The sequence below is a fragment of the Homo sapiens genome, chromosome 1 (assembly GCF_000001405.40).
Source record: "Homo sapiens chromosome 1, GRCh38.p14 Primary Assembly".
Classification (NCBI taxonomy): domain Eukaryota; kingdom Metazoa; phylum Chordata; class Mammalia; order Primates; family Hominidae; genus Homo; species Homo sapiens.
The window spans coordinates 26,232,155-26,259,189 of NC_000001.11; the positions used below are offsets into that span (position 1 = coordinate 26,232,155).

Here is a 27,035-nt window from a genome sequence, read left to right on the forward strand (position 1 = left end):
GGAGAATTGCTTGAACCTGGGAGGCAGAGGTTGCAGTGAGCTGAGATCGTGCCACTGCACTCCAGCCTGGGTGACAGAGCAAGACTCTGTCTCAAAACAAAACAAAAAAGAAAATTGACAGTAGATAATGGAATTACTTTTAAACTATAGATATCTATTACAAAGAACTGTACAAATGTACTGTTTGCTATTTGTAAATTTAAATCTCAACACTTCCACTATGTTTCCAGTCGGATTTCTCTTCTATCCTCTGTATCAGCAATTCACATCTTCCTAATTCTTCTCAGTCCTCTAGATGCCCCTGTTCCCTCCCTCCTCACATATGCCTTTCACAAAAGAAATGGAAGCCTTTCAATGTTTTCTGACTCTTCTTTCTCTTTCTTTCTTTCTTTTTCTTTCTTTCCTTCTTTCCTTCCGTCTTTCCTTCTTTCCTTCTTTCTTTCAGAACCTCGCTCTGTTGCCCAGGCTGGAGTGCAGTGATCTTGGCTCACTGCAACCTCTCCTCCTGAGTTCAAGTGATTCTCTTGCCCCAGCTTCCCCAGTAGCTGGGATTACAGGTGCCCACCACCACACCTGGCTAATTTTGTATTTTTAGTAGGGTTTTATCATGTTGGCCACAGGCTGGTCTCAAACTCCCGACCTCAAGTGATCCACCTGCCTGGGCCTCCCAAAGTGCTGGGATTACAGGCGTGAGCCACCGTGCCCGGCCAGGACTAACACTTTCTAGCTTTCTACCCTTCAGTCCATAAATTTATTCATTTAGACACCCTGTCTTAACATTTTTTTTTTTAGCCTTTACGTTAACAGAGGCTTCTGGTCCTAATTTCATATCATACCCAGGTTCATTTTCATTATCCATTAAATCTGCTATTTTATGTCTTCTATATTCTTATCTTAAAATACTAAAAGAGAGGACAAAGGATACAACCTTGGGGCACATCCCTAGGGTCTTTCCTCTAGAGTGACTTTTATTCAGTAATGAACTCACTTTGTCTGGCTCTTAAAGCTAAGAAATTATACAACTTTTTTTTTCCATACAACTTTTTTTTGGAGTGCAGGGGCACGATCTCGGCTCACTGCAACCTCCGGCTCCCTGGTTCAGGCGATTCTGCTGCCTCAGCCTCCCGAGTAGCTGGGATTACAGGTATGCGCCACCACACCCAGCTAATTTTTGTATTTTTAGTAGAGACGGGGTTTCACCATATTGGCCAGGATGGTCTCGATCTCCTGACCTCGTGATCCGCCCTCCTCTGTCTCCCAAAGTGCTGGGATTACAGGCATGAGCCACCGCGCCCGGCCTCCTATACAATTTTTTAGTATCTCTCCCTGCCAAGTCAGGTTTCTAGATACCCAGAATTTCACTATCTGAGATTCATTCCTTTGGCTGATGGTTCTGTTCTCCTTTCAAACAATTTTCCTGTCTGACTCTTCAAGCGCATATTAATGCAAATGGACTTAACAGTTCCTTTTCCTGTGGACCAAGTTTGGGGAGGGAGGCAGGACTGATCCTTTACCCTTCAACCTGAACCTTGGTCACAGGCTGACCACTGCGTCCAACCCAGACCAAGCCTTGACCCTGACTAGTCAGTGACCCAGGCCACACCCTAACTCCTGGTCACAACCTGAACCCCTGCTTCAGGTGTGAGAACTGATAGACCGGCGTTGGAATGGAAGGAGGGTGAGGCAAGCTGAGTGGGATTCTCGTGTCCCCAGCCCCGCCCGCGGGCCGCCAGCTTCCCAACCTGCACAGGCCCAGCAGGGCCCCTCCAGGTCTAGGTGAGCAGAGCTCCACCTACAGGTAAAACGCGGCAAGGGGCAGAGAAGGAGCCAAGTGGCGACGTGGTCATGCGCAGAAAGATCCGTCCGGCTCTCTGAGCAGAGGGTAGCGTGTGGGGGCGGGATACCGACGCGGCTCGGCTGCCGATTGGTCAGAAGAGGATAGAAAGGGGCGGGAAGCCGGCGCGGCTCGACTCCCGATTGGCCAGAGGCGGCAGAACGGGGTGGGGCCAAACGACGCGCGTTCTGTGGCGCGCGGCCTGGCGGGCGTGCAACGGCCGTTAGAGGAGCTGAGGGAGGGAACCACCGCTCACCGCAGACGTGGTGGCTGCAGTCAGTCTTCCCGAGTGAGGGATTTCGCCGCCCGCTTTCAGGCCCGTGTAAGTTTTCCTCCTTCGGGAGCCTCAGTCCTAGTGGCCGACCTTGCCTCTCCTCCCATAGCTCCGGCGAAGCCTCAGACGCTCGCGACCTGCCACCGTGAGGGGCCGGGGAGAGCGAAGCGCATGCGCCTCGGCTCCGAAGCCAGTGCCCCGGCATACGCCCTCTCGCGTCCCATTCCCCTCGCTTCCCCCGTTGCCTTGCTTTGCCGTCCGTGGTTCACCCCACGGCAGTCACTTTACCTGCGTGCCAGGCCCTGTGCCGATAGCCAGGGACACAGCGAGCGGCGCATTCCTTGCCCTTGCGGAGCGCACAGCCCTGGGAGTCGACGTTAAGCGGGGTAATCCCTCGGCGCGCAGTGAGGGTAGAGTGGAGAAATCTTACAAAGAGCGCAAAACAGAAGGCGCGGATCTAGTCGGAGAGGTCAGGGAGCCCTCCCCGAGGAGGAGAAGTTTGAGCCGAGATTGGAAGGCTGTGTAGAGAATTAAGGTTGTGGGACGGAAAGCACTTGGCGGGGCCTTACCCCGGTACTTCTCGGCCGGGGCGATTTTGCTTCCCTGGGGACATTGGTCGATGTCTGGAAACACTTTTGATAGTCACAGCTCCAGGGCTTGCTACTGGCATCTAGTGCGAAGAAGCCAGGGATGCTGTTACACAGCCTACTGTGTGTAGGACGCCCCCAACAACAAAGAAAAATCCCCCAAAATGTCAGTAGGGCGGAAGGTGAGGAAGCTTCCTTCAGCGAGAAGGAGCTGGTGCTTTGGTTGAACTGAAAGTTAGTGTGTTCAGGTTTATTTGTTCAACAGTATATTCAACGCTTACTTCACCTCAGTTAATGAGAGCGATCCTTTACACCAGTACATTCCCAACACGTGGCTCAGAGCCAGGCGCATAGTAGGCACGCAGTAAATTTCGGTTGATGAATTGAACACTGGGATAAGTAGGGGGCGGTGGTGATACAAGGACGATGAAGCTAGCCAGGCCTCATTTATTTGCCCTCAAACCTTGTCTGCTTTATAGTGATCTGGTGGTTTTGTATGTCTCACGACTTTTCTTTGTAAAGGCAACTTCTTGTCAAGGATTTGGCTTCTCTTTCACAAGGTTTAATGAATGATCAAGGCGGTGAAAATAGTGTAATGGTGTGAGATCCTTCGTGTGTCTGTGTCAGCTGTCTGTGTATCCCTTCAAATCCTCTCTTGTCTTGATGTGGTTCTCTTAACAGCTGCCAAGCATGATGTTCCACACTTAGATTGTAATTCTTTTTTTTTTTTTTTTTTTTGTGAGACGGAGTTTTGCTCTTGTTGCCCAGGCTGGAGTGCCGTGGCGCGATGTCGGCTCACCGCAACCTCCGCCTCCCAGGTTCAAGCGATTCTCCTGCCTCAGCCTCCCGAGTAGCTGGGATTACAGGCATGCGCCACCATGCACGGATAATTTTGTATTTTTAGTAGAGACGGCGTTTCTCCATGTTGGTCAGGCTGGTCTCAAACTCCCGACCTCAGGTGATCCGCCCGCCTCGGCCTCCCAAAATGCTGGGATTACAGGCGTGAGCCACCACGCCCGGCCACACTTAGATTGTAATTCTTATAGGGGAAAAATACTTACGGCAGTCAAAATCTAATTCTTGGGTAGCAACTTGAGAAATAAAGCCTAGGTGATGACCAAGGACAAAGTGAAGAAATTTTATGAGCTTTTACTGCTCATATAATTGAGGCTTGCAGCTCTAGCTGTCTGAGGCAGAAACTCCAACTTGTGGTGCCATGCTTGATCTCTTTTTTTGTGTTTTGTCACATGTAGAATGCTGACTAGACTACTGTAGCGTTAGAGTACAGTCCTGGCTTTGAAGCCTCTTCCTAGCCATATGACCTTCACTACTGTAAACCTTTATTTTCTCATCCATAAAATGAGGATAATAGTAACTGCCTCATAGGGTTGATGTGAACATGAAACATGAGACATGATACTTAAAAAGTGTTGAGCACAGTGTTTGATAGGTAGTAAGTGCAGAATGCATGTTAAATTTGTTGAATGAGTGACTGTTTCTGTAGTTTAAAGGGCTTTGAAGATGGAAACCAATCCTGTTGGGTGCTTTTTTTTTTTTTCCCCTCTGTCTGCCTCCATTCACTCCCTTTCTAAGCTTTATAACTGGTGTGTTACTTCTTGTACATTCACTTCTCTCATTTTTATCCCAGGAAATTTCTGTCTCCTTCAGTTGTCCCAAAAATTTCCACCAGTAGCTCATCTAATTCTTAAGTCAAGAATGATTTATTTTGTATTGTTTTACTCCTTACGGGGTTTCTTTCTTTCTGTTTTTCTTTTTTGAGATATTTGTTGTCAATGAGGGTCAGACTCTGAAATATTTGAAGGGATTTATTCTGAGCCAAATATGGGTGACCAGTGGCCCCTGACACAGCCCTCAGGTGATCCTGATAACGTGTGCCCTGGTTTTAAACATTTTAGGTAGACATGAGACATCAGTCAAATACATGTAAGATTTACATTGATCTGGAAGGGTAAGACAACTCTTAGTGGGTGGGGGCTTCCAGGTCATAGGTAGATTTCAAAATTTTCTGATTGGCAGTTGGTTGAAAGTTGTTATCAATAGAAAGGAATGTCTGGGTTAAGGTATCCTGGGGATCAACATTTTATTGTACAGATGAAGCCTCCAAATAGTAGGCTTTAGAGAGAATAGATTATAAATGTTTCTTACAGACATCTGTGTTAATGTTAATGCTTTTCCTAAATTCCAGAAGGGAGGAGGGTATAATGAGGGGTGTAGGACTCCACCACCACTACCACCATCATGGCCTTAACAGGTTTTTCAGCTTAACTTTGGAATGCCATTGGCCAAGGGGAGGGATCCATTCAGGTGGTTGGGGATGTCTTAGAATTTTTTTTTTGGCTTATATCACATAACATAAAATTTAATTTTATGTGTGTGCAATTCAGAGGTTTTTAATATATTGGCAAGGTTGTGCAGTCAGTCACCACTATCTAATCTCAGAACATTTTGATCACCCTGAAAAGAAACCCGGTATCCATTAGCAGTCCCTTCCTATTCTCCTACCCTCCCTCCTCTCAGTCCTTTGCAATCACTAATCTGTGTCTCTATGGATTTGCCTATTCTGACATTTCATATAAATAGGATCAAGCCTTTTGTTTGGCTTCTTTGACTTTGCATGTCTTCAGTGTTCATCCATGTTGTCACATGTATCAGTACTTCCTTTTATTGCTGAATAATACTCTGTTTTTTGGATATACCACATTTTATGTATCCATTCATTAGCTCATGGACGTTTGTGTTGTTTCCACTTTTTGGCTATTGTAAATAATGCTGCTACGAACATTCTTATTGAAGCTTTTGTGTAAACCTGTGTTTTCATTTCTCTTGGGTGTATACTTCAGTGTGGAATTGCTGAGTCATAGGGTAACTCGGAGTTCTCCTTCTGTCACCGTATTTTCAACTTGTCTGAATTTAGAAACACCTTAGAATCCAGTGCGCCTACCATTTTGTTATCCTTTAAAGAAAGGAGTGAAGAAAAGGATTTTGATATTGACAAGAAAGGAAATCACTAGTAAGGAGGTAATCTAATCATTCTATGTCATCATTTAACTCACTGAATCATACTTGCCATAAACTAAAGCTTTTATTACTGAACAAAGCTTCCCTCACCCAGTATGTGAAGAACTGGAATTGTGGAGGATGATACCCTTTCTATTGTAGATGCAGTGAATTAATAAGGGTTTGGGTTGTTATGTACTTTAGTGACCTCTATAGTATTCTCTTAGTAACAAGAGAATACTATAGAGGTCACTAAAGTACATTAGAGAAATAGTACCATATAGTCTTTTTTCTCCAGAGTGATAGAATTATGTTCTGTGAATTGTCCCAAACTCTTTTTTTTTTTTTTTTGAGACGGAGTCTTGCTCTGTCGCCCAGGCTGGAGTGCAATGGCGCGATCTTGGCTCACTGCAGCCTCCGCCTCCATGGTCCAAGCGATTCTCCTGCCTCAGCCTCCCAAGTAGCTGGGATTACAGGCGCCTGCCACCATGCCTGGCTAATTTTTGTATTTTTAGTAGAGACGGGGTTTCACCATGTTGGCTGGTCTCGAACTCCTGACCTCAGGTGATCCGCCTGCCTCGGCCTCCCAAAGTGCTGGGATTACAGGCGTGAGCCACTGAGCCCGGCCGAATTGTCCCAAACTCTTTTGGGGCTTTTATAAATTTAGAGTTTCTGAGTTGATACTCCTTGATCTTCCATGGGCTGTACAGTGCTACTTTTGTTGATGTAAATTGCCAAGTAATAACAGCACTTAGTATGTGTCAGGAACTGTTGTAAGTTAATTATAAGTGAATTAACATGAATTAGGTTGTGTTGTTATCCTCATTTTTATATGAAGAAAATGAGGAACAGAGATACTAAGAAATTTGCCCAAGGTTACACAGCTAATAAATTGATAACTTAATGTTTAGTGGGTTCAAGTGTATTTGTTTAGACTTCAAATCCACTTCTGCTGAATTCTCAGCACCTACCCCTAGTGTACTGTAAATATAAATATTTTAAGGAGTGAGAACATGGGACGAGAACTTCACGTTCCTAGCTCAGGATTGGAGTTCTACTTATGAGCAAGAATTCTTTCCCATCTTTTTACATCGTATGACTGACTTTAATTACTGGAAGAATTGAGGAATTTGTTTTGTGTTAATCATAATTGATGCTGTAATACTTCACTGTTGGTTTAGTTCTTTAGTTCTTTATCCACCTCGTCCTGTCATCAGGTCCCCATGGCTAAGAAGATTCATGGTAAAGTTTGTTAATTAAAAGTAATATTTTTAAATTTTATAAAAATCAGAAGGGTTCTAGGACCGTATGGAATCTGTATTGGTAATCTCTGGTTCTAGGTTTTCTATACTGGATTTGGGAAGAGAAGTAGAGTGGAGTATTGGGATTTACTTTGTCTTAAAAATATCCTTAGAAGTAAAACATGTAAAAACATATTTACTCCTAAATATCCTTAGGAATATAACATTTAGAATACTGGAATATTCTTTTTTATTTTTTTTGAGATGGAGTCTTGCTCAGTTGCCCAGGCTGGAGTGCAGTGGTGTGATCTTGGCTCACTGAAACCTCTGCCTCCCGGGTTCAAGCAATCCTTGTGCCTCAGCCTCCCAAGTAGCTGGGACTACAGATGTGTGCCACCATGCCCGGCCAATTTTTGTGTTTTTAGTAGAAATGGGGTTTCCCCATGTTGGTCAGGCTGGTCTCGAACTCCTGACCTCAGTTGATCTGCCCGCCTTGGCCTCCCAAAGTGCTGGGATTACAGGTGTGAGCCACTGTGCCTGGCCAAATACTTGAATATTCTATATGGTTTTGACAGTTTCAGTTGAATGGGAACTGAGTTGCGGGGAATTAAAGATACTTCAGAGAACTGACTGGTTATTCCTTCATTCTACAGTTGGCTTAAATAACTGTGATTGATGGCCATGCAGGAGAAATATCCAACTGAGGGGATCTCTCACGTCACTTCACCGAGTGAGTAGTCAGAAGTTTTCTGGGTTAAATTCTGACCTTTGTTCTGTTTTTTCATATTCCTTAAGGTAAATATTGAACAAACAAGCATTCACTGAAATGCTGGTGCTAAAAGAATAAAAATAACATGGGGCTTCATTGAATATAAAAACAGGTCTCTGAGGGAACAAGTATTTATCTCTTGTGCTATGTGGCTTTCAACAGGACCACGTGGTTGGGAGAGGACGACATATAAAGGATTGGAACAGAATGACTTTGGAACATAGTTCCATTTGAAATCAGAAAAACACAGCATAAATTACTGTGTTCTATGTTGTCTTTGTCCTCTGGGTGGGTCAGTCATCTGCTAGCCCACAAAAATAGGAATTCTGCTTGGATGCCAACAGATTCCGTTGCATTGTTACTAGAAACTCAGGAATTTATCTTCAGAATGGATTAACAAGATTTTGAAACTTCAGTAGATATATTAAATATATACAGTCCTTAAGTGTCCATGGCGGACTGGTTCCAAGACCTCCTGCAGATAGCAAAATCCACAGATACTCAAGTCCCTGATATAAAATGGTGTGGTATTTGCATATAACCTGTGTATATCCTAATGTTTACCTTAAATCGTCTCTAGATTACTTGTAATACCCAATGCAATGTAAATGCTATGTAAATAGTTATACTGTATTGTTTGGGGAATAAGAAGAAAAACAAGTCTTATGCACATTCAGTAAGATACCATTAAAAAAAAAAATTGGTTGAATTCACAAACGTAGAAACCACGGATATGGCCAGGCGCTGTGGCTCATGCCTGTAATCCCAGCACTTTGGGAGCCCAAGGCGGGTGGATCACCTGAGGTCAGGAGTTTGAGACCAGCCTGGCCAACATGGTAAAACTCCATGTCTACTAAAAATACAAAAATTAGCCGGGTGCAGTGGCATGTGCCTATAATAATCCCAGCTACTTGGGAGGCTGAGGCAGGAGAATCACTTGAACACGGGAAGCAGAGGTTGAGGTGAGCTGAGATGACGCCACTGCACTCCAGCCTGGGCAACAGAGTGAGACTGTGTCTCAAAAAAAAAAAGGGGAAAAAAAAGAAACCATGGATATGGAGAGCTGACTGTATATTAAACACATAAATATATGTATGCACTGTGCAGGCATATTAAGTAGATAATATATATTTCAAATAAGTAATATTTTAGAAAAATGACTTGTTGAATTCTGGGGTATTGGTAAAGAAGAGGGCACGTTTAATTCAACTCAGGGTATGTTTTATTTAACTTTAAAATCTCACAGTGCCTTACTCAGCGTAGATATTTGGTAAATGTTTGGTGTATTCTCTTAGGCATGCTGCCTTGCATAGAGTAGGCACCATTATAAGCTTTGGTTGAATCAATTCAAGATTCATTCAGCAGAATTTTTTTTTTTTTTTTGAAATGGAGTCTCGCTCTGTCACCCAGGCTAGAGTGCAGTGGCGTGATCTCGGCTCACTACAAGCTCCGCTTCCCGGGTTCATGCCATTCTCCTGCCTCAGCCTCCCAAGTAGCTGGGACTACAGGTGCCCGCCACCATGCCCAGCTAATTTTTTTGCATTTTTTAATAGAGACGGGGTTTCACCATGTTAGCCAGGATGGTCTCAATCTCCTGACCTTGTGATCTGCCCGCCTGGGCCTCGCAAAGTGCTGGGATTACAGGCGTGAGCCACTGCACCCGGCCTCAGGAAATATTTTTTAAACATCTGCTATGTGCTGCACATTCTCTTAGGTTTGTACAGTTTCTATGACAATTATGTATATAATGCAAGTTTTTGGAACAATGCCTTTCCTATGGCTTTTTTCTCTCTTCAATAGTATCTCATTCAGATTAATAATGGTCTTAATAATTGATAAGGATGCTACTGATAGGACATGCACTATAACACAAAAAATTTCAGCTTTTCTTTTTTTTTTTTGGAGACGGAGTCTTGTTCTGTGGCCCAGGCTGGAGTGCAGTGGCACAATCTCAGCTCACTGCAACTTCTGTCTCCTGGGTTTAAGTGATTCTTGTGCCTCAGCCTCCCAAGTAGCTGGGATTACAGGCATGCACCACCACACCTGGCTAATTTTTTTGTATTTTTAGTAGAGACGGGTTTCGCCATATGCCCAGGCTGGTCTCCAACTCCTGAGCTCAGGTAATCTGCCCACCCCCGCCTCCCAAAGTGCTAGGATTACAGGCATGAGCCACTGCACCCGGCCAACTTCAGCATTTAAACTTCAATTTTGAAATAAGTGTAAACCTCTATAAATATACCAAAATATATTTTTAACAAATAACTCTTTGGAATTAGGGTATGGAGTAGGTGGATGGAAAAATGGTAGCGATGAAGAGTGGAAGATTAGTAGTAGTAACAGGGAAGCGGTTTCCAGTAGGAAGTCAGGAAGATGGTAATAGAGGCCCTCAATCTTAACTGTTTCAAAAGGCCTGGCAAATTTTACACTGACTAGAGAGAAAAAGCTGTGTAGACTCACCAGAAGGTGGGATTTCTTTGCTTTGGGCTAGAATTACACCAACTTAGTATAGTAGCATTGGCTAATCTCATGCCGCTCAGAAACTCGGATTGTTGCCTGTGTCTTCTATAACAATTACAGATTACTGAGTGTATAAAGATTCTTTCAAATCAGGCAGTCACTGTGATCCAAAGAATAGAAGAAGTATTTGGGGAAAGTCAGGTTGCCTTCAGTAGAAAGCCAAAGTAAGGGTAGCAAAAAATGAGCAAAAGTAGAAGAAAATAGATTAAAAAGATGAGAGAAGCACTAAACTTGGAAGAAAGGAATAAAGTAATTTGTGTCCAAATTACTTTGGGCGTAATCATTTAGTGGGAGCAATCATTTGCCTCCCACTAGATCAGCGAGTCTGTAGAACCGTATTTTCTGAAATCGGCTTTCACACTTTAAGTTAAATGGAGGATAAGTAGCTGCCATTAGTTTTTTTGTTTGTTTGTTTATTTGTTTACATGGATCACCAGATACACCTTAGGAAAATTATAGTGGTTTTTAGAAAATAAATTTAAGTCTTTGCTAGAATGTTAGTGAATCAAGTATTTATTGAACACTTCCTACCTACCTCCCCCCAAACAGCATATTTTAAATCAAATAAATCTCATCAGTCTTTTTGTCTTAACCTTCTCAGCAGTTTTAGTGATATCTTCACGTTGCTCTCAAGATAAAGCCCTAGGCTCTTCAGATTGACTTTCAAAACTCACCTTGATCTCAATAGGATTCACCTATTGAGGGTACCCTGGTTCAGTGAAGCAGTGATTTTCTTTTTTTTTTTTTTTTTTTCTGAGATGGGGTTTCGCTCTTGTTGCCTAGGCTGGAGTGCAGTGGCGCAATCTTTGCTCACTGCAACCTCGAAGCAATGATTTTCAACTGGGGACTGGACTGCTTGTTGCCCTAGGAATCATTTGGAACTATATGGTTATTTTCTGGTTTCACAGTGATGGTGGTCTTGGTTGAGGGTTGCTGCTGGCATTCAGTGAGTGGGAACCAGGGATGCTAAACCATTCTGTAATGTATAGACTACACATTGAAGAATGGTCATCCCCAGAATGCCAAAAGCACCATTGAGAAACTGTAAGAAAGAGGAAAGAATGTGGGTTTTGGAATCAGAAAGAACTGGATTCAAATATCAGCCCTCCCCTCTGTAAAATAGGGGTGGTAATACTTTTCAGTAAGTAGGTAGGCAAGATTATGTTTGTAAGGTCCTGTGGCTTTACAGGTTTCAATAAATGGCCACTGCTATTAAATATGATTGTTTTCTGTTCCAGTACTCCTGGATTCTTCATGGGTCTTATTAACATCTTTGAATATTCTCACTTCTCATACTATTTCCACTTAAAATTAACTAGCTCAGGCTTGGCGCAGTGGCTCACACCTGTAATCCCAGCACTTTGGGAGGCCAAGGCGGGTGGATTATGAGATCAGGAGTTCAAGACCAGCCTGGCCAAGATGGTGAAACCGCGTCTCTACTAAAAATATAAAAATTAACTGGGCGTGGTGGTGGGCGCCTGTAATCCCAGCTACTCGGGAGGCTAAGGCAGAGAATTGCTTGAACCCAGGAGGTGGAGGCTGCAGTGAGCTGCGCGCCACTGCACTCAAGCCTGGGTGACAGAGCAGACTCCGTCTCAAAAAAAAAAAAAAAAAAAAAAAAAACTAGATCGGAGCAGCTGAAATAGGCACAGGAGAGAGAAAGGGGTGGGTTGCTGCTATTCTCTTAGGTTTATGTGATTTTTTAAAAAAAGATCTGATGGGGTTACATCAGCTGGTTCACAGTAAAGGTGGGAAATGCCTCTTGTTTCAGGTTCCGATGTGATTCAGAAGGGCAGTTCCCTGGGGACTGAATGGCAGACCCCAGTTATCTCGGAGCCCTTTCGGAGCCGCTTCAGCCGCTGTTCAAGTGTAGCCGACAGTGGGGACACAGCCATTGGTACATCATGCTCAGATATTGCGGAGGGTAAGTTTGTATTAATGATTTGATTACCAATATGTGTTCTCATTTTCAGATTGCATTTTGGGTATATTGGCATTTCCAGATTGTGTTATTTCCAGAATGTTCATAACGTCATTCCATTTCATTCAAGGAGTCTCTCATTCTTCTTACCCTGTGCTTCTCACATCTGGTCCCTTTATCTAAATTTCTACTTTTTATCTTATCTGAAACAACTTTGTTGGGGGGTGGGGAGACAGGGTCTCACTCTGTCACTCAGGTTGGAGTGCACTGGCATGATCATAGCTCGCTGCAGCCTCCCATGCTGAGGTAATCCTCCCACCTCAGCCTCCTAGGTAGCTGAGACTGCAGGTATGCACCACCGTGGCTGGCTAATTTTTTGTGTGTTTTTATAGAGATGGCGTTTTGCCATGTTGCCCAGGCTGGTCTGGACTCCCAGACTCAAGAGAACCACCTGCCTCGGCCTCCCAAAGTGCTGAGATTACAGGAATGAGCCCCTGTGCCTAGCCTTTGAAACAACTTTCTGATAGGTTAATTGGCCTCAAGTCTTTCCCTCTGCTGCCAGATTATTTTTGCTAAAAGCCTAATTTCATAGTTTCCTATAAATCTTCAATAACTCCTATTGCTTGGGCGATGAAGTTCAGAGTCTTCCGTTCTGTGATCGTCCCTATCCCACCCACTCAAACATATTTCCTGCTGTCACCAAGTCTGAACGTAAAGTCCTGTTTTTTGTTTTGTTTCTATTAATTTTTTGAGATGGTCTCACTCTGTCACCCAGGCTGGAGTGCAGTAGTGCCATCATGCTCACTGCAGCCGTAAACTCCTAGGCTCCTGAGTAGCAGGGACTACTAGCATGGTGCCACCACACCCAGCTATTTTTTTTTTTTTTCATTTTTTGTAGAATTGAGATCTTGCTATATAGCCCAGGCTGGTCTCAAACTCTTTGCCTGAAACGATCCTATTGCCTCAGCCTCCCAAAGTGCTGAGTGCTGGGATTACAGGCTGGAACCACCATACCCAGCTGGTTTTTGGTTTCTGATACTGGGGCTCTTTTTTTCCTTCTTTAATCTGGGCCCATGTATGCGATGCCTGCCTCCTCTTGCCTTTCCTAGCTATGCTGATGTTACTATTCAAGATCCAGCAAATGTCCCGCAGGCTTTTCCCATCCCTTACGCTCATTAGTCATATCATTCTCCTTGCATTCTTGTATCTTTATTATCTCTGCCACTTGTTTTCACACTTAAGTATTGACAGGCAATACTTTATAAGGGCATTTTGTTTTTCCGTTTAGATTGGTGAGTTCTAGAAGGCAGAGAACCTAATTGATAATAATTAACTACTGTTGATTGTATGCTTTGTGATAGATACTATAAATTTTTTCTGTATTATTTCACTAAAGCCCTTAAGAAGCCTATAATATGTCTTCTTATTTCCATTTTACGGATGAAAAGGCTGAATTTCAAAGTGATTGAATGAGTTTCTTAAAGTCACAAAACTTGTCACTTTGATAATCATATGTTGTAATTTTAAAACATCTACTCCACAGCCACTTGGATGGCTATATTCCAGAAGATAACAATCCTAGCTACTTGGGAGGCTGAGGCAGGAGGATCACTTGAGCCCAGGAGTTTGAGACTAGCCTGGGCAGCATAGTGAGACCCTGTCTCAAAAAAAAAAAGTAAGTTCAATCACTTTGTTACACAGGTTGCGTGTGTGACTCCGTTTTTTATTCCTCTAGGGAAATACATATGTATTTCCCTTCTGTGCACTCTTTTTAAATTGTAGCAGCCTTTTTGGTGAGAATGTAGAGAAATGGAAACTTTTGTGCATTGCTGGTAGGAATGTAAAGTATTGCAGCTGCTTTGGAAAACAGGCAGTTCCTCAAAAGGTTAAACATAGAGTTATTCCTGACCCGATAGTTCTACTCTTAGATATATACCCAGGAGAAATGAATACACAAGTTTTTGTGTGGACTTGTACATAAATGTTGGTAGCAGCATTATTCATGATAGTCAAAAGTAGAAACAATCCAAAACCCACAACTGATGAATGAATGAATATCCATATAATACAGTAGAATATTATTCAGCAATAAAAAGAAATGAAATACTGGTACATGCTACCTTAAAAACATATACTGGCCAGATGTAGGGGCTGATGTCTATAATCCTAGCGCTTTGGGAGGCCAAGGCGGGTGGATTGCCTGAGCTCAGGAGTTCGAGACCAGCCTGGGCAACACGGTGAAAGCCCATCTTTACTAAAATACAAAAAATTAGCTGGGCGTGGTGATGTATGCCTGTAATCTACTCGGGAGGCTGAGACAAGAGAATTGCTTGAACCCGGGAGGCAGAGGTTGCAGTGAGGTGAGATCGTGCCATTGCACTCCAGCTTGGGCAACAGAGTGAGACTCCGTCTTTAAAAAAAAAAAAAAATTATATACTAAGACTGTATTTTCAGGGATCGTTTCTGTAGTATGTTACTAGAGAAGTTTTTCTGAATGTGTAGAGCACCGTTAAGAAAAAGAAAATAAAATGAAATAACCATTATATATGAAGTTAAAAAAAAGCCAGACACAAAAGGCTGTATATTGCATGATTCCCTTTATATCAGGGGTCTCCAACCCCTGGGCCAAGGACCGGTACCAGTCTGGCCTGTTAGGAACCACACAGCAGGAGGTGAGCAGCAGGTCGAGCGTTACCGCCTGAGCTCCATCTCCTGTCAGATCAGTGGCGGGATTAAATTCTCACAGGAGCAGGAACCCTATTGTGAAATGTGCATTTGAGGGATCTAGGTTGTGTGCTCTTTATGAGGATCAAACTAATGCCTAAAGTCCAGAATAGGTGAATGTACAGAAACACAAAGTAGATTAATGGTTTTCTAGGGCTTCGGAAGCTGGTGGAAACAGCATGACTGCCAAAGGGTAAGAGGTTTTCTTTTTGGAGTGATGAAAATGTTGTAAAATTGATTGTAGTGATTATGCAACTCCATTAATATACTAAAACCCATTGAATTGTACACCTCAAGTGAGCAAATTGTATAATATGTGAATTGTATTTCAATAAAGGTTTTTGTTTTTTGTTTTTCTTAAATAGGTATGAGCTGAGAGGAGTAAATTTAAAAATGAAAAGAAAAAAAAAAAGCCAGGGACAGTGGTCTGTACCTATAGTCCCAGCTGCTCCCAAGGCTGAGGTGGGAAAATCACTTGAGCCCACGAGTTTGAGTACAGTCTGGGCAACATAGTGAGATCTTGTCTCCAAAAAAAAAAGAGGGTAGTGGGGACCACATCTACTATTACTGGTTCCTAGACATCTAGCATTAATTTTAGTTTTTGTTTGTTTGTTTTATAAAGATAGGGTCTCTTTTTGTCACCCAGGCTTGAGTGCAATGGCGTGATCACAAGCTCATTGCAGCCTTGAACTCCTGGGCTCAACCTATCTTTCCACCTAAGCCTTCCAAGTAGCTGGGACTACAGGCGTGTACCATCACACTCAGCCAGTTTGTTTTGTTTTGTTTTGTTTTGTTTTGCGTGTGGAGTCAGGTTCTCACCATCTTGCCCAGGATGGTTCTTGAACTTCTGGGCTCAAGCAGTCCTCCTGCCCTGACTTTCCAAAGTGCTGGGATTACAGGTGTGAGCCACTGCACCCAGCCCCTAGAGTTAATTTTGATAGTTTGACAACTATGTGTATAATGGGGACTGTGCTCAGTAACTATTGAGTAGAATTGAATCATAGATTTTGAGGTACACAGGACTTCAAAAATTGCCTCTGCTCGTTTTGATTGGTGAATAACAAAAATTCCCCAAGGAGTTAAGTAACTTGCCTAACATCATACAGCTGGTTATCAGATTCTGGTCTCCTGACTGTGTAATATTCTATCAATTGTGTAATCAAAAATCTTACTGTTAATTTAATTTTCACTTGTTAAGGTTTTGTCTACATGTGCAGTCATAGGACCTTTTTATTTTGATTAAATAATAGATATTTTTAAAATCAATCAGTGGTCTAGATTTTTCCCCCATTGAAATGACCAGCTGTATTTAATTCAGTTACATTGCTACACAGATTGTGTGTGTGACTCTCTTTTTTATTCTTTTGGGAAAATAACTTACATTCTAGTGCATTTTTTAAAAGTTGTAATAGTCTTCTCGAGATAGGGGTCAAAGATATTGGTCTAGAAGTTTTTTTTACTTCTTCTTATTTTTTCGAGACAGAGTCGCTCTGTCGCCCAGGCTGGAGTGCAGTGGCCCAATCTCGGCTCACTGTAACCTCCACCTCCTGGGTTCAAGCGATTCTCCTCTTTCAGCCTCCCGAGTAACTGGGATTACAGGCGTGTACCACCATGCCTGGCTAATTTTTGTATTTTTAGTAGAGATGGGGTTTCACCATGTTGGCCAGTCTGGGTCTTGAACTCTTTTTTTTTTTTTTTTTTTTTTGAGACCGAGTCTCGCTCTGTTGCCCAGGCTGGAGTGCAGTGGGGCAATCTCGGCTCACTGCAAGCTCCGCCTTCCGGGTTAATGCCATTCTCCTGCCTCAGCCTCCCAAGTAGCTGGTACTACAGGCACCCGCCACTACGCCCGGCTAATTTTTTGTATTTTTAGTAGAGACGGGGTTTCACCGTGTTAGCCAGAATGGTCTCGATCTCCTGACCTCACGATCTGCCCACCTCGGCTTCTCAAAGTGCTGGGATTACAGGCGTGAGCCACCACGCCCAGGCCTAGACATTTTTTAAACTGCTATGTTTGTTACATACCATGATCCTAATCTTAACTCTTTTTGTGTGTTTGTTTTGAGACGGAGTCTCACTCTGTCACCCAGGCTGGAGTGCAGTGGCATGATCTTGGCTCACTGCAACCTCCGCCTCCCGGGTTCAAGCGATTCTTCTGCCTCAGCCTTCTGAGTAGTTGGGATTACAGGCGTGTGCCACCACACCCAGCTAATTTTTGTATTTTTAGTAAAGACGGGGTTTCACCTTGTTGGCCAGACTGGTCTCGAAGTCCTGACCTCAGCTGATCCACTCACCTTGGCCTCTCAAAGTGTTGGGATTATAGGCGTGAGCCACTGCTCCTGGCCTCTAATCTTAACTCTTACACATTTTGTTCATGAATCTAGCTTGCGGTCTAGTTGACAAGAACCCCTGTGACTGGTATACAGTATAGTTCATTGTTGCATCTTTAAATTTAATAGGCATGCTTTTGATTCCACCCTTCTTCACTAAGGTGTTTTACCTTGAAAGATTCTCGAGGGACAGAGTAGAGGTGGGTACTGAAGAGTTCAGAATGCTTTCAGCTCTTTGCAAAAGACTGAAATAGTCACTGGTGTAATTCAGGCTACTGAATCACTTCAGGTGTAGACTGAAGTGACTGAGATTTGGTAATAGCTGAATCTACCCTTACTGTGAAAGGAAGTTTGCTCAAAAATGAGTTGTTTTTTAGGGTGGGGAGGGGTCATAAAATGTGGTTAAGTAGGGGAGAGATTTAGAACTATATTCTTAAAATGGCAAAACCCCAAAGTTTTTGGGAACTGTAGATTTCTGTAAATAAAAATCACATATCCCATGCATTGTATTTTTTAAAGAGATGGATCTCACTGTGTTGCCTACACTGGAGTGCAATGACTGTTCACACAGGTACCATCATAGTGTACTATAGCCATGAACTCGGTGGGGCTCAAGTAATCCTCCTGAGTTAGACTACTGAGTAGCTGGGCCTACAGAGATGCACCACCTGCCTGGTTCCCATACACTAAATTTTGAATGCCTTTGAAAATTGTAGAAGATAGAGGTCCCTTTGAAAATGAGTGTTGCTATTTCATTTCAAAATATTCTAAACCACAGACCAGACTTACGGTGTAACTCAGAGGTCCCCAACTCCTGGCCCGTGGACCAGTACCAGTCCATGGCATATTAGGAACCAGGCCACACAGCTGGAGGTGAGCAGCAGGCGAGCAAGCATTACTGCCTGAGCTTGCGCCTTCTGTCAGATCAGTGGTGACATTAGATTCTCATAGGAGCACGAACCCTATTGTGAACTGTGCATGTGAGGGATCTAGGTTGCTCAGTCCTTACGAGAATCTAATGCCTGATGATCTGAGGTGGAACAGTTTCATCCTGAAACCATCCCCCCAACCATCGTCTGTGGAAAAATTGTGTTCCACAAAACGATTCCCTGGTAACAAAAAGGTTGGGAACCGCTGGTGTAACTTTACATTTCATAGCACAGTTAGTCTGAATCAGGCAGTTTACTTAATATAAATAGATAAACCCAATAGATAAGTTAAAAATGTGGACAAAGACCTCACCTTAATTTTCTAATATGTCCATTTATCATCTATAAAAAATTAGAAAAGCCATATTCTTCTGGGTCAGTTGGTACTTTTCTTCTTGGCTTTGGTTTTGGCATTATTTTGGGGTTATCTTAGTGTATTTTCTGTTACTGTAAGAGAATACCTGAGACAGTGTAACTTATACAGAAAAGATGTTTATTTTGCCCAGGGTTCTGGAGAGTGAGAAGTCCAAAGGCATAGTGGCAGCATCTGGCGAAGGCTTTTGTGCTGTATCATAACATGGTGGAAAAGCAGAGACCACTAGAGTGAGCCAAGCTTGCCTTTTTTTTTTCTTTTTTCTTTTTTTTTTTTTTTTTTTTTTTTTTGAGACAGAGTCTTATTTCTGTCACTCAGGCTGGAGTGCAGTGGTGGGATCTTGGCTCACTGCAGCTTCCGCCTCCCATGTTCAAGTGATTTCTCCTGCCTCAGCCTCCCGAGTAGCTGGGATTACAGGCACCCGCCATCATGCCCAGCTAATTTTTGTATTTTTAGTAGAGATGGGGTTTCACCATGTTAGCCAGGCTGGCCTTGAACTCCTGACCTCAAATGATCCGCTTGCCTCTGCCTCCCAAAGTGCTAGGATTACAGGCATAAACCACCGTGCCCAACCCAAGCTTGGTTTTTTTTTTTTTTTTTGAGGTGGAGTTTAGCTCTTGTTGCCCAGGCTGGAGTGCAATGGTGCAATCTCGGCTCACTGCAACGTCTGCCTCCCGGTTTCAGGCGATTCTCCTGCCTCAGCCTCCTGAGAAGCTGGGACTACAGGCATGCGTCACCACGCCCAGCTAATCTTGTATTTTTAGTGGAGACAGGGTTTCTCCACGTTGATCAGGCTGGTCTCAAACTCCGGACCTCAGGTGATCCGCCCACCTCAGCCTCCCAAAGTGCTGGGATTACAGGCATGAGCCACCATGCCCGGCCCCAAGCTTGCTTTTATAACAACCCACTGCTTTGAGAACTAACTCACTTCTGCTAATCTATTATGAGGCTTCTACCCTCATGACCCAGTCACCTCTTAGAGGCCCCCACCTCTTAATACTGTTACATTGGCAATTAAGTTTCCAACACATGAACTTTTGGGGGACAGACACTTTCAAACCACAGCAGGGGGTGTGGGCTCAAAACTGAATTTGGTGAATCTAGAGAGAGTGGTGCTATGGATGGAGACTGGAAGGAGGTATTGCAAAGTTCATGGTAGCAACCCCTCATGTGCTACAACCTCACAGTCTTCTGTTTTGTAATTACACCGTGGGAGCAGTGACCCTTGGTAAGAACTGATAACTATGGTGCTGTTATGGAGGATTTAAAACATATTGCTTATGGTTAAGCACGGTGGCTCATCCCTGTAATCCCAGCACTTTGGGAGGCCGAGACAGGTGAATCACTTGAGGTTAGGAATTCAAGACCAGCCTGGCCAACATGGTGAAACCCCGTCTACTAAAAATACAAAAATTAGCCAGGCATGGTGGCGGGCTCCTGTAATCCCAGCTACTCGAGAGGCTGAGGCAGAAGAGTCGCTTGAACCCAGGAGGCAGAGGTTGCGGTGAGCCAAGATCGTGCCACTGCACTCCAGCCTGGACAACAGAGTGAGTGAGACCCCATCTCAAAAAAGAAAAAATTGGGCCGGGGGCAGTGGCTCACACCTGTAATCCCAGCACTTTGGGAGGCCGAGGCGGGCGGATCACCTGAGGTTGGGAGTTCAAGACCAGCCTGACCAGCATGGAGAAGCCCTGTCTCTACTAAAAATACAAAATTAGCCGGGCGTGGTGGAGCATGCCTTTAATCCCAGCTACTTGGGAGGCTGAGGCAGGAGAATCGCTTGAACCCAGGAGGAGGAGGTTGTGGTGAGCCAAGATCGCGCCATTGCACTCCAGCCTGGGCAACAAGAGTGAAATTCCGGCTCCAAAAAATAAAACAAAAAATTGTATTGCTTACTAGTCTTTGAAGTCTTTATCACTAGCAGTCTGCCTTAACCTTGTGTACTAGTCCTATATTTAAGTTGTGAGACATCAGAAACTGGGTCCTTTAACTGAGAAATTTCTTTCTTGGTCCTGAGAGACTAATGCATGTTATCAGAACTTATTCAGGTTTTTGTTTTGTTACGTGTGTGTGTGTTTTTTTAGTGTGGCCTTTTATATATCCCCAAGATCATCTTCAGTATAGCAAATTAGATACTATGCATGTAATATAAGGCTTGCACGTCTTTTTTTAAAGTATTTATTCCTCCTGTCTAACCGAAATGTTTTACCCTTTGATCAGCATCTCTCGATTCCCCCTGCTCCCAGCTTCTGGTAACCACAATTATTCTCTCTGTTTCTATGTGTCGAGGTTTTTTTTAGCTTCCACATATAAGTAAGAACGTGCAGTATTTGTCATTTTGTGCCTGGCTTATTTCTCTTAGTGTCCTCCAGTTTCATCCATGTTGTTGCAAGTGACACAATTGACATCTTTTATAAGGCTGGTATTCCGTTGTGTAATATACTGCATTTTCCTTATCTGTTCGTCTGTTGATTCTATAACTTGGCTATTGTGAATAATTACTCAGTAAACATGGGATTGTAGATATCTCTTGGACATACATATTTCATATCGTTTGGATATATACCCAGAAGTGGATTGCTGGATCATATGGTAACTATTTTTAGTTTTTTGAGGAGCTACATACTCCATTGTTTTCCACAGTGGCTGTGTTACATTCCCCCCAACTGTGTACTAGAGTTCCCTTTTCTCTGCATCCTCTCCAAACTTGTTATCTTTCATCTTTTTTTTTTTTTTTTTGAGATGGAGTCTCACTCTGTCGCCCAGGCTGGAGTGCAGTAGTGCGATCCTGGCTCATTGCAACCTCCACCTCCTGGGTTCAAGCGATCCTCCTGCCTCAGCCTCCCGAATAGCTGGGACTACAGGCGCGTGCCACCATACCTGGCTAATATTTTGTATTTTTAGTAGAGACAGGGTTTCACCGTGTTAGCCAGGATGGTTTCGATCTCCTGACCTCATGATCCCCCCTCCTCAGCCTCCCAAAGTGCTGGGGATTACAGGCATGAGCCACTGCGCCCGGCCTCATCTTTTTCATCATAGCCATTCTGACAGGTGTGAGGTGGCTTGCCCATATTTTTAAAGAGTTGCTTAAGGCCGGGCATGGTGGCTCACACCTGTAATCCTAGCACTTTGGGAGGCTGAGGCAGGTGGATCACTTGAGCCCATGAGTTCGAGACCAGTCTGGGCAACATGGCGAAACCCCATCTCTCCTAAAAATACAAAAACTGAGGTGGGAAGATCACCTGAGCCTGGGGAGGTCGAGGCTGCAGTGAACTGTGATCACGCCACTGTGCTCCAGCCTGGGTGACAGAGTGAGACCCCATTTCAAAAAAAAAAGTTGTTTAATGAGAAGGTCGTAGCTGATCTATACTTACATAATTCTGGGAACAATTATAGTATTTGTTGTTGTTATCTGAGTGTTCTCTGTGTTGGTTGCTGGGGAGAAAAAGAAACAAGTTGGTAGTCGCTCTTCTCCGTGGTAGATATGCTTGATTTGGGAACGAGTACTGAATATAGTTGAAAAGAGAAGAAATTGGTATTCCTTATTTCCTTATTCAGTTTTCTGCCTGCTGAAAGCAATAAGTATGTTACCTCACATTCCTCCCTTATTGTTTGCTTGCAGTAGTCCCCCTCAGAGTAGTACTTGAAAGTTGGAAATAGGTAGAAATGTGAACCTTGTATAGTAGGGCTAATCAAGGGTTGTCTCCCAAGACCAGGCAGGAGCCAAAGGAAACACAAATTCAGTCTGAAGGAAAAGTTAAAAAAAAAAAAACACAGTTGGGTACACACAAGGGGGCAAGTGAAAGGCAAAATATAAAATAGAGGATTTCAGTGTGTACCCAATTGAGAGTGCTCACTGTGCTAGAGTGAAACCTGAGAGTTACTAAGAATAACTTCACATATCCAGGCAGTCAGGTTTGGGGTATGGGAGAGAGAACAGAATCCTGCCTCAGATGCCATACTCCCTGTCCTGCATACTGAGCAAGACTGTCTAGTTCGCTTCATTCTTCAGATAGTTTGGACTCGTTGCTCACCTTCCTGGGGGAGCTTTTGGAGGTCGCAGAAGATTCTGGTGACTCTTGGAAAGGATATTTTTATTAGATTTGATTATAGCTGAGAGTTGTCCAGCTTCCAGAAGAGTAGGACCTAACTCATTTTCCTTAAGTAAGTAATTTGTTTTAAAGTTTAAATTTTTTAAAAAACTTTTTAAAAGTTTTTCAGCTTTGTCTGTTGACTGACAAGATTTTTTTTATTCCAGTACAAAGGACTAAGTTAAAAGTGAAGTCATTATTGCCTTTTGTTAGTTTACCTTGTGAATGGCATTTGAGATCCTGGAACATACATCTCCCAGTTTGGTTGCCGTTTCTTTCTGCCTGATACTTTTGATGATGGTGCTCTCTCTGCTTGGTCTCAGGACAGGCCGAGAGCTTCTGGCATAGCATTCAAACTCAAGAAAGCTTGCTACTTCAATTTTTACTTATGGAAGACTATTCTCTCCCCAGATTTTTGCAGCTCAAGTGGCAGTCCTCCTTTCCAGCCCATCAAAAGCCACGTAACCATTCCAACAGCCCATGTGATGCCTTCTACTTTAGGGACCTCTCCTGCCAAGCCAAATTCTACACCTGTTGGACCCTCTTCCTCTAAACTCCCTTTGTCAGGGTTGGCTGAAAGTGTGGGAATGACAAGAAATGGAGACCTCGGTGCAATGAAACATTCTCCAGGCCTATCTAGAGATCTCATGTATTTCTCTGGTGCTACTGGAGAAAATGGAATTGAGCAGTCCTGGTTTCCAGCAGTGGGCCATGAAAGACAAGAAGAGGCGAGGAAGTTTGATATTCCTAGCATGGAATCTACCCTCAATCAGTCGGCAATGATGGAGACACTTTATTCAGATCCTCACCACCGAGTCCGCTTCCACAACCCAAGAACCAGCACAAGTAAGGAGTTGTACAGAGTGTTGCCTGAGGCCAAGAAGGCACCGGGCAGCGGGGCAGTGTTTGAGCGGAATGGACCACATTCTAATAGCAGTGGGGTCCTCCCTTTGGGACTCCAGCCTGCTCCCGGGCTCTCCAAGCCTCTGCCCTCTCAGGTGTGGCAGCCGAGTCCTGACACTTGGCATCCCCGAGAGCAATCTTGTGAACTCAGCACTTGTCGGCAGCAGCTGGAATTGATTCGTTTACAGATGGAGCAAATGCAGGTAGAGGTCTATCTTTCCTTGGATTTTCTAGGTTCTGTACAGTTCTTAGAATTGTAATAGCTTTTGTCCTTTGAATTTTGGCTTAAAGAAAATAGCTGTAAAAAGAAGGAAGATGTTTGTAGACAGGAAATACAGGCTTGTGAGCTGTTGGCCATTGAATCTGTTTGGTAGTCAAATTAAGCACCAGATAGGGTCTCCAAAATAGCAAAAGGTTACAAAGGAAAACCTAAAAACGTATTTATACGTCACTAGGCTAAGTACTTTCACATACAGCATTTTATTTAATCTTCATAGTGTACTAACGAGGTAGATGTAGAAACTTACCAGGTTCTTAGACTACATAATCTGTACGGGGTCATAGAGTTGGTAATTGGCAGAGCTGGGGTTTAAAAACCATCTTTGAGGCCAGGTGGCTCACGCCTATAATCCCAGCATTTTGGGAGGCCGAGGCGGGCAGGAGTTCGAGACCAGCCTGGCCAGCAGAGTGAAACCCTGCCTCTACTAAAAATATAAAAATTAGCCAGGTGTGGTGGCATGCGCCTGTAGTCCCAACTACTCAGGAGGCTGTGGCAGGAGAATTGCTTGAACCTGGGAGGCGGAGGTTGCAGTGAGCCGAGACTGCGCCATTGCACTCCAGTCTGGATGACAGAGCGAGGCTCTGTCTCAAAAAATAAATAAATAAATGTGAAAACCTTCTTTGAGCCCCTGTGTTCTCTCTACCACTTTTGTATTTTCTTTTTTTTTTTTTTTTGAGATGGAGTCTTGCTCTGTTGCCCAGGCTGGAGTGCAGTGGCGTGTTCTCGGCTCACTGCAACCTCTACCTCCCAAGGTCAAGTGATTCTCCTGCCTTAACCTCCCGAGTAGCTGGGACTACAGGTGCGTGCCAACACGCCCAGCTCTTTTTTGTATTATTAGTAGAAACAGGGTTTCACCATGCTGGCCCGCCTAGTCTCGAACTCCTGACCTTGTGATCCGCCCGCCTCAGCCTCCGAAAGTGCTGGGATTACAGGGGTGAGTTACTGTGCCTGCCTGTATTTTCCTTTTTTTGTTTTGTTTTGTTTTGGTGTGTGTGTGTGTGTGTGTGTGTGTGTTTTGGAGACAGAGTCTTGCTCTGTCGCCCAGTGGCATGATCTTGGCTCACTGCAACCTCCACCTCTCAGGTTCAAGCAATTTTCCTGCCTCAGCCTCCTGAGTAGCTAGGACCACAGGCGCATGCCACCACGCCTGGCTAATTTTTTGTATTTTTTATTAGAGACGGGTTTTCACCCTGTTGCCCATGCTGGTTTAGAACTCCTGAGCTTGGGCAATCTGCCCACCTTGGCCTTCCAAAGTGCTGGGATTACAGGCGTGAGCCACCGCACCCAGCATATTTTCTTTTAAAAAATCCTTGTGCTGCTGAAGAGTGGGAAGGAAGGGAGCAGACATATTCCCCTTCCTTGGTTGGTGAGGACATCCTAGCTCCTGGTTTGCCTCTGTTGCTAGATAATAAAAGATAACTGACCTTTTCTTAGAAACTAGAGCCTTTTTGAACAGGGAGTGTTCAGTTGGCAGAAGCCTTCCTGGCAGGTTCTTTCCAGTCATGCCTCAGAGCTAAAATTATTTCATAAACATTGGGCCTCATCAGGCTGAGCCAAGTTGGGCTTTGACTACAGACCCAGCTGATTACTGCTCAGGTGTTTTCAGGCGTGTATGGGTCAAGATCAAGCTCATCTGGGCCTACTTGCCTTTCAGCTTCAGAATGGAGCCATCTGCCACCATCCTGCTGCTTTTGGTCCTTCACTGCCCATCTTAGAGCCAGCACAGTGGATCAGCATCTTGAACAGTAATGAACACCTTCTGAAGGAAAAAGAGCTTCTCATTGACAAGTAAGAGGGCAAGGGGTACCACAGAGCCAGACTACTCTCCCAGGCCCCATTGAAGACACCTAATGGAGTCTTCCCAAGGGCAAAGCATTCCTCCTCTGTTTAGGTCCATGTCTTGCCTCATGGTGGAGGTAGTTTGATAAGCAGCCTAGTCGTGTATATATAACTAATATAATAGACCAGTTATGTATTTCTTTAGGGGCTCTAGGGAGTGCCTAAGGGGGTAGCCAGTTCATTGCTTCTGATCTTTTCCTCATTTCCCCAGTTATCTTTCTCATTTGTTCTTCTTCCTTCAGAAAATAGTGATATCCAGAATCTAAGATCTTGCTTACGTAATAGGGATTGTACTTAGTAGGGGCTCATATTGTGAGGGGTTAGCATCAGGACCCTGACCTGATTCTACCGGCTTGTGCAGGCAGAGGAAACACATCTCTCAGCTGGAGCAGAAAGTGCGAGAGAGCGAACTGCAAGTCCACAGTGCCCTCTTGGGCCGCCCTGCCCCCTTTGGTGATGTCTGCTTGCTGAGGCTACAGGTAAGTATTGGCCATCAGGATGGCATTCTGTTTGTCATAACTCGGTGTCTTCCCTATGCTTGACACCATTAGGTATCCAGGAGATAGAAAAGAGCTCAAGTGATGTAAGTGTCCCTGCCCTCAAAGAGGGCATACTAATTATAAAGCACCCTTTATCATGCCCTTGTGGGAGCAGAAAAGGCTAAGAACCAGGTGAAAGTCCAGATGCCTGGGTGTGAAGACATACTTGGAAGAAAGGTAGATAGTAAGGTCCTAGAGTTGGGTGATGTTATGAGAAGTCTTAATTTTCTAGCCCTAGCCAAAGGAGAGAGAGGCAAAGGTAATGCAGGATTTAGAGCTATTCTCTCTCTTTTTTTTTTTTTCCCCTGCTCTGTCACCCAGGCTGGAGTGCAGTGGCACAATCTCGGCTCACTGCAACCTCCGCCTCCCGGGTTCAAGCAATTCTCCTGCCTCAGCCTCCCAAGTAGCTAGGATTACAGGTGCCTGCCACCATGCCTGGCTAATTTTTATATTTTTAGTAGAGACGGGGTTTCATCATGTTGGCCAGGCTGGTCTCGAACTCCTGACCTCGTGATCCGCCTACCTCGGCTTCCCAAAGTGCTGGGATTACAGGCGGGAGTCACTGCACCCGGGCATTCTCATTTTTATCCTCCATATCTAGGAGCAGCTGAAGAAGATAATATTCTCACTGAGATCAATGGTTGTGGGGCTTTAGAGTTTGAAAAGAAGCCTGCTTTGTTGACCAAGCTTCTGCAATTTGGGCATTTGAATGTTGGATATTTGACAGGTTATAGCACTGGCTTTGCTACCTAATTAAGGCAGTATCCTGTCTCATAGAATCAGAATGTTAAGAGTGGGAAGTGCCTTAAATAAAACTAGTTAATTCTTCGAATTTACTGATTAAAGAATTGAAACCTGAGAAAGAGGAA

The 27,035-nt window shown here is 44.0% G+C and overlaps 1 protein-coding gene and 1 pseudogene across 7 annotated transcripts in view, besides 4 other annotated features; both read left to right on the forward strand.

Moving 5' to 3' along the window:
• Positions 1-2,045: 2,045 nt before the first annotated feature.
• CEP85 (centrosomal protein 85) overlaps positions 2,046-27,035 on the forward strand; it is a 44,609-nt gene continuing 19,619 nt past the window's right edge. For 3 of the 7 annotated variants that reach the window (NM_022778.5, NM_001319944.2, XM_017002105.3), the window contains exons 1-6: positions 2,046-2,156; positions 7,608-7,684; positions 12,012-12,164; positions 23,017-23,711; positions 25,443-25,576; positions 25,989-26,106. In NM_022778.5, coding sequence (NP_073615.2) covers positions 7,630-7,684; positions 12,012-12,164; positions 23,017-23,711; positions 25,443-25,576; positions 25,989-26,106 — 1,155 coding nt within the window. In that variant the 5' untranslated portion in view covers positions 2,046-2,156; positions 7,608-7,629. Of the gene's footprint in view, positions 2,495-5,556; positions 5,735-7,607; positions 7,685-12,011; positions 12,165-23,016; positions 23,712-24,679; positions 24,723-25,442; positions 25,577-25,988; positions 26,107-27,035 lie in introns of those variants that run through there. The other 4 variants (XM_047428051.1, XM_024449200.2, NM_001281517.3 and 1 more) reach the window with 4 other exon arrangements.
• Positions 2,245-2,394: an enhancer, noted in NCBI's record as "active region_483". NCBI's record gives its function as "activates an Ori minimal core promoter by ATAC-STARR-seq in GM12878 lymphoblastoid cells {active_cell/tissue: GM12878}" and the evidence as "EXISTENCE:reporter gene assay evidence [ECO:0000049][PMID:35858748]".
• Positions 2,715-2,774: an enhancer, noted in NCBI's record as "active region_484". NCBI's record gives its function as "activates an Ori minimal core promoter by ATAC-STARR-seq in GM12878 lymphoblastoid cells {active_cell/tissue: GM12878}" and the evidence as "EXISTENCE:reporter gene assay evidence [ECO:0000049][PMID:35858748]".
• Positions 2,865-2,914: an enhancer, noted in NCBI's record as "active region_485". NCBI's record gives its function as "activates an Ori minimal core promoter by ATAC-STARR-seq in GM12878 lymphoblastoid cells {active_cell/tissue: GM12878}" and the evidence as "EXISTENCE:reporter gene assay evidence [ECO:0000049][PMID:35858748]".
• On the forward strand, positions 14,600-14,693 carry LOC124904684 (uncharacterized; annotated as a pseudogene).
• Positions 25,170-25,370: a silencer, noted in NCBI's record as "peak133 fragment used in MPRA reporter construct". NCBI's record gives its function as "represses an SCP1 promoter by STARR-seq MPRAs in K562 erythroleukemia cells {active_cell/tissue: K562}" and the evidence as "EXISTENCE:reporter gene assay evidence [ECO:0000049][PMID:32103011]".